Below are 11,931 nucleotides of genomic sequence, written 5' to 3'. Positions count from 1 at the left end.
GAGCTGCCAATGGGACACACTTGTCCAGAGACCAGTGAATCTGCACTGAGTAGTTGTGATTCAGAGCAGCTGATTATTCTATTGCGCACGGTCATGCCTCCTGGATGCATGTGTGGCGGTAGTGATTTTTGAATTACTGATACAGGCTTGCCCTTCTTAGCTATCCACAGAGGTTCTCATTTATTCACTCAATAAATGCTAATCGTGTGCCTCCAATGTATCAGCTGCTGCTCTGGATGCTGGGTATGCATCTGTGAATAGACAAGGTCCTTGCCCTCATGGTGCTTATATGAGGTCAAGGGGTGATAAGAGCCATAAAGAAGAATAAAGTAGAAATGGGCTACATAGTTGAATGACCTGCCTTTTCATTTAGCAGGGAAGGATTCTTCGAAGAGATGACATTCCAGCACAATGGATGAGTTTCTTGGCTGAGAGAGTTTATGAGAAATTTGTTTGTGGGGCGGACTTCCATTCACTGCTGGTTTAGCTGAGGAAGAGAAGTGAATGGAAAAGAGAAGGGTCTCAGCATCTCCTCTGTGTTTGCCTCTGCAGGCCTGTCCAAAAGTCTTCTTTGCCCACTGCTTGAGAGCCACATTTAAAAGAATGGCACTCCCTGTTCCTAATCCTCCATTTTCAACTACCATGACCCGTCTCTCAGGTCTCTGAACCTGCCCAATTCAGGTTGTTGCCATGAAACTTCTAAGTGATTGCCACAGACCCCTAATGGTCTCCCTGCCTTCAGACTTGCCCTCAACCTCCCTTCTCCACATCCAGAGAGAGGGGACACATCCTTCTGAAAGGGCAACCCTGATCAAGTTACTCTCCTGCTTAAACCCTCATTATCATTAAAAAAATACAACTTCTTAATCATGGTCCACAAGACCTTTCATGATTGGGTGCCTAGTAACCCCTCTAGCCCCACTGCTTTTCCCTCCTATCCCCTCTGCTTTTCATCCTGGATATGTTGAACCATTTGCTGCTTCCCAAATGTTATGTGCTCTATGTCTTTGATTTCCACATCTTATCCTTTTCCTGCCTTTATGACCCCCTTTTTGTCCACTCTCTTTGAGCCTTCATATTACTTGAAAAGGCTTCTCTAATTCCCCAAAAACCATGTCCTTTTAAAAATTTTCCTTTGGGACAGAGTCTCGCTCTGTCACCCATAGTGCCATCTTGGCTCACTGCAACCTCTGCCTCCCGGGTTCAAGCAATTCTCCTGCCTCAGCCTCCCAAGTGCAGCTGGAATTACAGGCACATGTCAGCATGCCCAGCTAATTTTTGTATTTTTAGTAGGGACAGGGTTTCTCCATGTTGGCCCGGCTTGTCTCGAACTCCTGACCTCAAGTGATACACTCACCTCAGCCTCTCAAAGTGTTGGGATTACAGGTGTGAGCCACCATGCCCAGCCTCCAAAAACCATGTCAATATCTCTCCTGGGTGCCTCCAAAGTGAGGGCCTCGGGGAGCTGTCACAGTCAGGCAGTGACCTCTCAGCACTCACAGGAAGCATGGCCACCTCTACCATGTCTGGCAGATGCTGTTCTAGGAAATGCCTCTCCATACCAGCTATCTCTCTCTGCTGCATCCACCCCCTGCATCCCTCTTTCACAACACTTGCATTCTGTACCATACTTGCTTATAGATGTGTCTATCTCTCTTCTAAACTTGGGCTCCTTGTGGCCAGAATTACAACTCACTCTTTTTGTATCTATCACACAGAACCCAGTGTTGGCTGAGTTGAGTGCATAAATAAAAGAGAAACTGAGTCAATGATTGCATGAATTAATAAATGAAGGGAGGGATGAATGGATGGCACAATGGATGGCAGAATGGCTCAGCTTTTCCAAGCGAGAGCCTGCCTTTTGTGTTGATGAAAACACATGGTGGAGGCAAACTAGGCCCTTCACTGAGCAAGATGTTAAGTCCTGGAATTCAGAAACCTAGGATTCATTTCTCCCTTCATCTGTCTCAAGAGTAGCAAAGACGAGTCTTTTGTTCACAAAGTCTTTGAGAGACACACCTGAGAAGTCTCTTGTTTTTACTATTTACCCTTTGGGTCTTGGAGATTTTTTTTTTTTAAAGGAACTGTCAAAATCATTAAAAGCAAGGAAGACCCTGGAGGTCTAATGAATGCTTGAGGAAGAGCAGAAAGGCTGGGTCACATGATTTCCAGGAACAGGTCAAGCCAATGTTCTATGTTCATGGGATAGCATGGAGGACAGCGGTGGGCTAAGCTGGCGATATGTGACTTTGATGAAGTCTTCTGAGAAAGGTAGGTCTAGACAGGTTGGTGAGAAGGAGGGACAGCCGCCTTAGATCAGGGACAGACTGTGTGTGATCTTTAGCAAGTGACTGAAACTTTCTGACCCTCTGCCCCCATTTCTTCATTTCTTTCTCTTTCTTTCTTTCTTTTCTTTCTTTCTTTCTTTCTTTCTTTCTTTCTTTCTTTCCTTCTTTCTTTCTTTCTTTCCTTTCTTTCTTTCTTTCTTTCTTTCTTTCTTTCTTTCTTTCTTTCTTCTTTTCTTTCTTCTTTCTTTCTTTTCTTTCTTTATTTCCTTCTTTCTTCCTTCCTTCCTTCTTTCCTTCTTTCCTTCCTTCATTCCTTCCTTCCTTCTTTCCTTCCTTCCTTCCTTTTTTTTCTTTTTCTTTTTTTGACAGAGTCTTCCTCTGTCACCCAGGCAGGAGTGCAGTGGCTTGATCTTGGCTCACTGCAACCTCCACCTCCCAGGTTCAAGTGATTCTCCTGCCTTAGCCTCCCAAGCATTTGGGATTACAGGTGTGTGCCACCATGCCTGGCTATTTTTTATATTTTTAGTGGAGATGGGTTTTTGCCATGTTGGCCAATCTGGTCTCGAACTTCTGACTTCAGGTGATCTGCCTGCCTCAGCCTCCCAAAGTGCTGGGATTACAGGCGTGAGCCATGGTTCCTGGACCATTTATTCATTTCTAATGGTGGAGAAAAATCTCTGCCTCATGAGATTGCTGGTGGTTTTAAGCAAGATCATTGCTGTAAGGTGCAGTCATTTAAAATCCAGCCCAGTTGTTCTTTTCCCAACTGAGTTCATCACCTCTCCTCTCAATTAATCTCTGTATGTCTATTGTTGAACTTATTATTGTATTGCAGTGAGTTTGTCTGCATGCTTATCTGCCCACTAGAAGGCGAGATCCAAGAGAATGGGTGAATAGGTCTTATTCCTGTGGCATCCTCTGAATCCAACCCAGGGCCCTGTATGGAAGACTAGAAGGTGGATAAATCATAAGTTTCATTCTTCTTTCCCTGTTCACAATGCTCAGAAATATAGATTATCCAGTTTGGAGGTGAGGATGCTTCTTCCAAGACTACCTGTAGCTCTGAGGATTCCAAATTTAGCACATCAATAAATAAACACCTTCTTTACGGGTAGATAAACAGCTTCCAGATCAACAAACGGTGGTATAATAAGATGTTCCTCTGCAAACTGGCCCAAACAACAATGAGGAAAAGATGCAGGAGTCCCAAACAGAACACGCCAGTGAGGGGGTATAAAAGTGAGGGCCTCAGGGAGCTGTCACAGTGAGGCAGCAACCTCTCAGCACTCAGCACAAGGAAGCACGGCCACCTCCACCATGTCTGGCAGTTGCTCTTCTAGGAAATGCTTCTCCGTGCCAGCCACCTCTCTCTGCTCCACTGAGGTGAGCTGTGGAGGCCCCATCTGCCTGCCCAGTTCCTGCCAGAGCCAGACATGGCAGCTGGTGACTTGTCAAGACAGCTGTGGATCATCCAGCTGTGGGCCACAGTGCCGTCAGCCCTCCTGTCCTGTGAGTAGCTGTGCCCAACCCCTGTGCTGTGATCCTGTCATTTGTGAGCCTTCTTGCTCCGTGAGCAGCGGCTGCCAACCCGTGTGCTGTGAGGCCACCACCTGTGAGCCTTCTTGCTCTGTGAGCAACTGCTACCAACCTGTGTGCTTCGAGGCCACCATCTGTGAGCCTTCTTGCTCAGTGAGCAACTGCTGCCAACCTGTGTGCTTTGAGGCCACCGTTTGTGAGCCTTCTTGTTCCGTGAGCAGCTGTGCTCAACCTGTGTGCTGTGAGCCTGCTATTTGTGAGCCTTCTTGCTCCGTGAGCAGCTGCTGCCAGCCTGTAGGCTCTGAAGCCACTTCCTGCCAACCAGTCCTCTGTGTGCCCACTTCCTGCCAGCCTGTCCTCTGCAAATCCAGCTGCTGCCAGCCAGTTGTCTGTGAGCCCAGCTGCTGTTCAGCTGTCTGCACCCTGCCTAGTTCCTGCCAACCTGTGGTCTGTGAGCCTTCCTGCTGTCAGCCGGTGTGCCCGACACCTACCTGCTCTGTGACCAGTAGCTGCCAGGCTGTCTGCTGTGACCCCAGCCCTTGTGAGCCAAGTTGCTCAGAGTCTAGCATCTGCCAGCCAGCTACGTGTGTGGCTCTGGTCTGTGAGCCAGTTTGCCTCCGCCCTGTCTGCTGTGTTCAGAGCTCGTGCGAGCCACCTTCTGTCCCCAGCACTTGCCAAGAGCCTTCTTGTTGTGTCTCCAGTATCTGCCAACCCATCTGCTCTGAGCCCAGCCCCTGCTCACCAGCTGTCTGTGTGTCCAGTCCATGCCAACCTACTTGCTATGTAGTCAAGCGCTGTCCTTCTGTCTGCCCTGAGCCAGTTTCCTGCCCATCTACCTCCTGCCGACCTCTTTCCTGCAGTCCAGGGTCTTCTGCATCTGCCATCTGCCGACCAACTTGTCCTAGGACTTTCTACATACCCAGTTCCAGCAAACGGCCTTGCAGTGCTACGATTTCCTACCGCCCGGTCTCCCGTCCGATCTGCCGCCCAATCTGCTCTGGACTCCTCACCTATAGGCAGCCATACATGACATCCATCTCCTACCGTCCTGCCTGCTATCGCCCATGCTACTCCATCCTGCGCCGCCCAGCCTGTGTCACTTCCTACTCTTGCCGCCCAGTCTACTTCCGCCCATCTTGCACTGAGTCTGACTCTTGCAAACGGGATTGCAAAAAATCCACTTCCAGCCAACTGGATTGTGTTGACACAACCCCCTGCAAGGTGGATGTCTCAGAAGAGGCTCCCTGCCAGCCCACTGAAGCCAAACCCATCAGCCCAACCACCCGTGAGGCCGCAGCAGCTCAGCCTGCTGCCAGCAAGCCTGCCAACTGCTAAATTGGCTTCAGCCCCCCAATTCTTGCAAGTCAAGCCACCAGCTAGAGACAAAACTGCACTGTCCTCCCCAAAGCTCATTATGACTTAGCTAGGAGCTCTTTCTTTCTGCATTGTTACTCACAATCGGCTTACCCCTCAAAGAACTCATCAGAAATGTCAGTATCCTGATCACTTAAATGAAGGCCTTCTGGACAGTGAGAGGGAGACATTCCAGGTTCTTGTCTTCTGCTACGATTAAGCTGAGAAGAGCTGCTTTGCCACATCATCTCGGGTCTCTTTCCTGCATGTAGTTTTTTCTGTCATCATGTATGTGCTCCCTTGCTATGCATGCTTGTGTTCCTTAGGGACTTCTCCAATCAGGTAAAATATGTAACTGTCCAATAAAGGTGGCTAAGCTGAAGCAACTTGCTGTTCTCCTTGCTCTTCCATTAATGCCATAGTCTCATCAGTGACTTGCTTCTTCTTTAACAGCAGCTCCATTCAACCATCCATCCACCCACCCATCCCTCTGGCATTATTAGACAGCAGCTAGGTGCCAGGGACTGTGTTTAGCTCTAAGAATAAACATAAGAAGTCTCAGTCTTTGTTCTCAAGAAACTCACTCTCTGGTGGGCAGCAAGACAATTATGACATTCCTTTGTGCCAAGTACTTGGAGATAAGCATAGAGCACCATGAACTCAGCAGAGCATAGTTGGGGAACAAGGAAAGAATTATTGGAGAATGTGATACTGGCATCGAGTCTTTCAGTATGAGTAGGAATTAACCAGTTACAAACAGGAAAGGAAAAACTTTCTAGGCAAAGGAGACTTGTACAAGTGAATGGGGCTTGAGGGCAAATTGTTCATTAGGTGAGGCATGGGAGAGTTGTTCTTTGAGGAATGAGCCATGAGGTCAGGTCGTAGACAGTGATCTGTCTATGTGGGGTCTTGCATGCTAGACAGAGGTATTTCGGTTTGATGCAGGGCTGACATGAAAGCATCAAGGGGCTGCATGCAAGGAGGTGACAGGAAGAGCACTGGTTTTGGAACATCCCTCTGGCCTTGGTTGGTGTGGAGAACTCAATGGAAGAACATGGTTCTGGATATAGAGAGACTGGGGAGGAAAGGAAGCCAATTGTTTTTGGGTCCACAGGAAGAAAAACAAGTGGGGATCAGGGATCATACTTACAACAAAGAAGGTTGGGTAACTTGGATTTCTTGTGTGAGAATTTTGTTTATGTTCTCCTACTTCCTCCAAGACACTCATAGGATAAATTCTGTATCTTACAAAATCCAAGGACAGAGTCTCTTCAAAGCAGTCACTCCCTACACTTAGTGCACAGAATGGAGGCCTATTCCTTGTCCTCAAGGGGCAGCTTGAGTCATCATGAGCACAGTGTGAGGGTCGACCAGGGCTTCTCAACTTCAGCATTATTGACATTTTGGGCTGGGCGATTCTTTGTTGTAAAGGCTGTCCTGTGAATTATAGGATGTTAAGCAGCATCCCTGGCCTCTATGAACCAGATTCTAGTAGCATCCTTTGAGGGTGATGATCACAAATGTCTCCAGACATTGCCAAACATTGCCTGGGAGTGCAAAAATCACCCCTGTTTGAGAACCACTGGGTCAGACTATGGCAGAGGGAGAAAGTCAAAAGCAAAACTTAATCACATTGGTGTTGGAGTTACTGTCTCATCAAGCCATTGGGATTTATCATTGTCTCCTTCCAGAGTCAAGAGGGGAGTTGGCCAGCCGGATGCTGTGGCTAAAGCCTATAATCCCAGCACTTCGGGAGGCCGAGGTGGGTGAATCACCTGAGGTCAGGAGTTCGAGACCAGCCTGGCCAACGTGGTGAAACCGCATCTCTACTAAAAATACAAAAATTAGCTGGTCATGGTGGCGCACGCCTGTAGTCCCAGCTACTAGGAGGCTGAGGCAGGAGAATTGCTTGAATCTGGAAGGAGGTTGCAGTGAGCCAAGATCACTTCACTGCACTCCAGCCTGGGCGACAGAGAGAGATTCTGTCTAAACACACACACACACACACACACACACACACACACAGGAGTTGGCTAGGGTTTTGAACCTCTGTGCCAAGCACTGGACTAAGCATTTCATATGGATTACAGCAATTCTTTGAAGTAATATGTATTCTCTCCTATTTTTTCACCTATACATAAGATGCAGAATTCGAAGGACAAACAATCCAAGTGCCCATCAATGGACAATTAAATTGTGGTATATTCACCCAATGGGATATTATACTGTGAAGATGACTGGAAAATGGCGACATGCAATAGCATGGATGAATCTTACTAACATAGTGTTGATTGATATAAACAAGCTCCAGAAAACCATACGTGTGTGTATATATTTATGTATATTAATATAATGTGTGTATATATATACACACACTCAAACATATATGTGTGTATTGTTCAAAAACCACAGACACACATATGTATGAGTATACATGCATTTATACACATATGTACACACACAAACACATATATATAAAGGGAGTGATAAAATTCACGATTGTCATGGCTAATAAGTAACATGCAAATGACTAAAACCCAGTTCTTTCCAAAGCCTAGGTTCTGTATGGATCATGATATGTCTCAATGTGGTCACAGGTGTCTTTGTTGATACACTAGGTGTTTTTAGTGCCTTGAACTACAGCAAGACAGATGTTCTTGCTATTAAGAGTTTCCTTTAGGAGAAAAGAAAACAAGAGCAGAATCACTTAGAGAAAAATGGATGTAGAATGGATTGCTTTAAAACTATAAAAGTGGTATAGGATATTGGACTGAAGTTGATGTGATTTTTCAAACATGCTCATGTTCCCAGTTTGATTGACATATTTGGTAAGACTGAAAGTATTAAATACATCCTCTGGGAAGATGAAGAGCTTTGGGGGTAAATATTCAGCAATAAAACACAGTGCATGGATTCCTGCAGATTGAAAGATGCCAACATGAATACAGACAAGAAGGAGGGCAAAAGAAGTGATCCATGGTGTGACATAGAAACCAACTGTGGGGAAAAAGGCATTTCAATGGCAGGGGAGAAGGTTTTCCAGACATTGTTCTGATCAAAAATGTTTCTCTTCTTTTTAAAATGGAGGTGAAGAGGGTGCCAAGGAGAAGGCATTTTGTAGCTGGGGGTTTGCAAAGTACCCTTCAGCGTTTTCAGTATTTTCAATAATTTGTGAAGCAACCAAAGCAAACAAACACCCACAAAAAACTAACCTGAGACATGACAACGCAGTTGATGAAATCGCCATACTTTGAAGACTTAGGTAATTAGCTAACATATTCAACAGAATGAGTTAGTGGCAGAGCCAGAAATCAAGGCCAGCCCCATCTGGCTCCCCACACCGTGATCTTTCCACTCCGTCATGTGCCTCCAGCGTGAACCGGCCAGAACGTTGGCTGGTGTAGAACACCGGACCTGGTTGGTGATGCGGAGCCAGGACAAGCCCGGAGGAAAAGCAGAAGGGCCAAGAAAGTCCCTCACGAATTCCTCTTGGAAGGGATTGGTTTAACATTAACACCACTTTACAGTGATTTTTTTTATTATCACTGCTGGCGTGTTTTTATTTGTATAGAATTCATATGCTATTGATGCCCTAGGGTGGGTTTGATACTTCCTGATGAAATATTTGGTAGTTTAAAAAATTTCCAAAATTAAAAGACTGTGTTTGAGTGTATTGATAAGTAGAGGTAAGTACTCACACCAGTGTGGTCTAGCTGCTGATTACAGTCACTGGAGTGGGCGGAGGATCCCCAGGATGGGGCCTGGGCAACCTGCTCACGAGCCAGTCTGTTGCCATAGGGGTGTCAGCCTGCAGCCACTATATCAGTGTCGCCTTCTCCCTGCCTCCCCAAAGTCAGGGGGTCTAATAGGTGGTTAAGATCAGGGGTTTGGTGGTCAGACAAAGCTAGGTTTGAATTTTGTTTCTACCCCTTTTCATTTGCATAATTTTGGGAACATGATTTAAACTCTATGAGTTTTGCCACTTCTGTTTTCTTCTTTTCTGTTCTAAAAAAATCTTGAGAGGAACCAATTTGGGGGAGATTTTAAGCTTCCTAAAAGGGCCAATGAAGTTTTATATTTTAATCTTAACTTTGTTTTAAACCTGGTTTCTTCTTTATTTATTACTTTTTTTTAGTTTTGCCACTTCTAACATAGTGATGACAATTATACTTACTGAAGTCATTGTGAGGATCCAGTGAAAAATGCAGCCAAGGACTTGATCTAGTAACTATGCAATAAATGAAAGCCATTTCTATTGTTATTATTAGTAATAGTACTAGTAAACAAGTTTCAGGAATGATAAATGGGAAGGTTTTAAAAAGAGGTAGAGGCACTTAAGTGTCCCTGGGTTCCTTGGACTAATTTTCCATTTCCCGTCTTGACATCCTCTCCCCAAACTGGGTCAAGGCTTCATTTCTGATTGAATGGTGCAAAGCTGCATTCCTGGAGGAACAGCAGGGCCACTCTGGCTTGGCAGAGGCCTCCTGATGAAAGGTTAGTGCCAGGAAAGGCCTGCTTCAGTGAGGCTGGAGAGCAACCTGTAAAAGAGACAGCTCATCCAAGAGCAGGAGCAGTGTCAACGAATCCAAATGCAGCGCAGAAAACTCCCGACTCAACAGACACCTTTTCAAAGTTGAAACATCTCCCAGGCTCCTGAAGCCTGCTAATCAGATGTTTGCATGCAAATGAGTAAAAACAATAACAAGGAAAGATGCTGCATGGCGTGCCAACACCCCTAGTGAAGGACTATAAAAGCCCCTCTGTATCGGATGTCTTTCCAATGCAGGTATACTGAGCTTGCAACTTCCCAGCAAGGTCAGCACCAGCACCATGGCAGACGGCTGTTGTCCTGGAAACACCACAGCCATTCCAGCTGTGCCCACCATCACCACATACCCAGTTAAAGGTGGATTTCGACATGCTCTCTGTTTGCCTAGTTCCTGCCACAGCAGAATGTGGCAACTGGTCACATGCCAAGAAAGCTGTCAGCCATCCATTGGTGCCCCAAGTGGCTGTGATCCTGCTTCGTGTCAACCTACCCGCCTTCCAGCAACGTCTTGTGTGGGTTTTGTTTGCCAACCTATGTGCTCCCACGCAGCCTGCTATCAGTCTGGCACTGGTCAGTCTCCTTGTCTGGTTAGCTCATGTCAGCCATCCTGCTCGGAATCTACTTGTTGTCAGGAAAAGTGCTGCGATGCCAGTCCCTGCCAGCAAAGCTCCTGCCAGGAATCTGTCTGCATGTCTGGATCATGTCAGGCAGCTTGTGGCCAATCAGTCTGCTGTGATGCTGGATCCTGCCAGCCATCCTGCTCTGAAGTGACCTCCTGTCCGGAAACTTCTTGCCTACCAACCATCTGTACAGCTAGTCCATGCCAACCAACTTGGTGCCAAGGAAGTTCATGTCAACCCGTCAGTGGTGAAGGCCAGCCCTGTAAATCAACTTATTATCAACCCATCTGCTATATTTTCAAGCCTTGCCAATCAGCCCTCTACATGCCTGTTCCCTGCCAGCCATCGACTTGTGTGTTCAGTTCTTGCAATACTACTTGCTGTGTGCCTTCCCATTGCCAGCCACCTCACTGCCAACTGGTTCCTTCCACATGCTTCATCTACCAGCCAGTGGCTAACTGCCAGGCCCCTTGTTCCACAAAGAACTGTTGCAAACCAGCTTCTTGTGACACTGTGATTTCTGGCCAACCAACTTGTGATGGACCCCCTTCCTATAACCAGAGTGGCTGCAAATCAGCTTGCTGTGTGACTGGTTTAGGCACATCACCCAGTAGTGGCTCCAATTGCTTGCCGACTTCATGCCAACCCAGCTGTGAGTCCAGCTTCTGCAAGGCAACACTTTGTTAATGGAGCCCTCTTCACACCTCCTCTGAGGGTCTGCGGCTGTCTATAAATGCATAGCCATCCCTGGGTGCCTGCCTCCCACCGAGTACAAATGCTGCCTGCTTTCTAACTTTACCCTGATTCCACCTTCACATTCTCTCCAGGTGCTGACCAGGGAACTTGTCCAGGCACGAAGAGATCCTTCTTAACCGAGAATAACCTTTCAGCAACCATGGACTACCACACTGCTGCTTGCATTTCCTGATGATGTCAATTCATTTCACTTTAGCAAACCCTCTCTTGTTTCTCTTTCTTGATGCTGCCTGGTCTTTCAGAAGACCTCGTTGCTGCCAGCTGCTAATAAAAATGTGACTGGTTAAGTATAATAAATAAGACTCCTGGAGTGCTTTCATTCCTACACACACCTCTATGTAGATTTCCTTCAGGTCACATTTGAACACAATGAGCCTGAGTCATCTAAGTCAGTGGGTCTGCATTGGTCTGCAAGGGTAGCTAGTGTCTAGGATTATAGATTCTCCAGCTGGACGAGAGTAAGGGCAAACAGTTCACTGGCTTCCAAAATTTTCACCACCAAGAGTTCTTTTGAGCTGAGTGGGCTCATTTTCCCTATAGTGAGTAGACAGGAAGCCAACAACAAAAATGGTTCTGGAAAGCCACAGATGAAAACAAACATGAGGTATTGGCCATAGAGAATAGCTTAGGGTTAATTCATTTAAGATTCTTTTTTTTTTTTTTTTTTTTTTGACACAGAGTTTCACTCTTGTTGCCCAGGCTGGAGTGCAAGAGCGTGATCTCGGCCCACCGCAACCTCTGCCTCCTGGGTTCAAGCGATTCTCCTGCCTGGGACATTGTGTCAGCTGGCTAAGGAGAAATATTCATAGGATCCCTTTGTATTATCATA

At 46.4% G+C, this 11,931-nt stretch overlaps 2 protein-coding genes across 2 annotated transcripts; both read left to right on the top strand.

Annotated features, from left to right (window-relative positions):
* The first annotated feature begins 3,549 nt into the window (after nt 1-3,549).
* Nucleotides 3,550-5,159, top strand: KRTAP16-1 (keratin associated protein 16-1). The gene has a single exon (NM_001146182.2). It carries the CDS (start codon nt 3,606-3,608, stop codon nt 5,157-5,159), a length of 1,554 nt encoding a protein of 517 aa, NP_001139654.1. The 5' UTR covers nt 3,550-3,605.
* A 4,848-nt stretch (nt 5,160-10,007) lies between these two features.
* Nucleotides 10,008-11,033, top strand: KRTAP29-1 (keratin associated like protein 29-1). The gene has a single exon (NM_001257309.1). The coding sequence runs from the start codon at nt 10,008-10,010 to the stop codon at nt 11,031-11,033; it is 1,026 nt and encodes a 341-aa protein (NP_001244238.1).
* Nucleotides 11,034-11,931: the final 898 nt, after the last annotated feature.

This window comes from Homo sapiens, chromosome 17, assembly GCF_000001405.40.
Source record: "Homo sapiens chromosome 17, GRCh38.p14 Primary Assembly".
NCBI classification, from domain to species: domain Eukaryota; kingdom Metazoa; phylum Chordata; class Mammalia; order Primates; family Hominidae; genus Homo; species Homo sapiens.
Note: the sequence above shows the minus strand (reverse complement) of the source record. Positions and strands in the feature narration are given on the sequence as shown.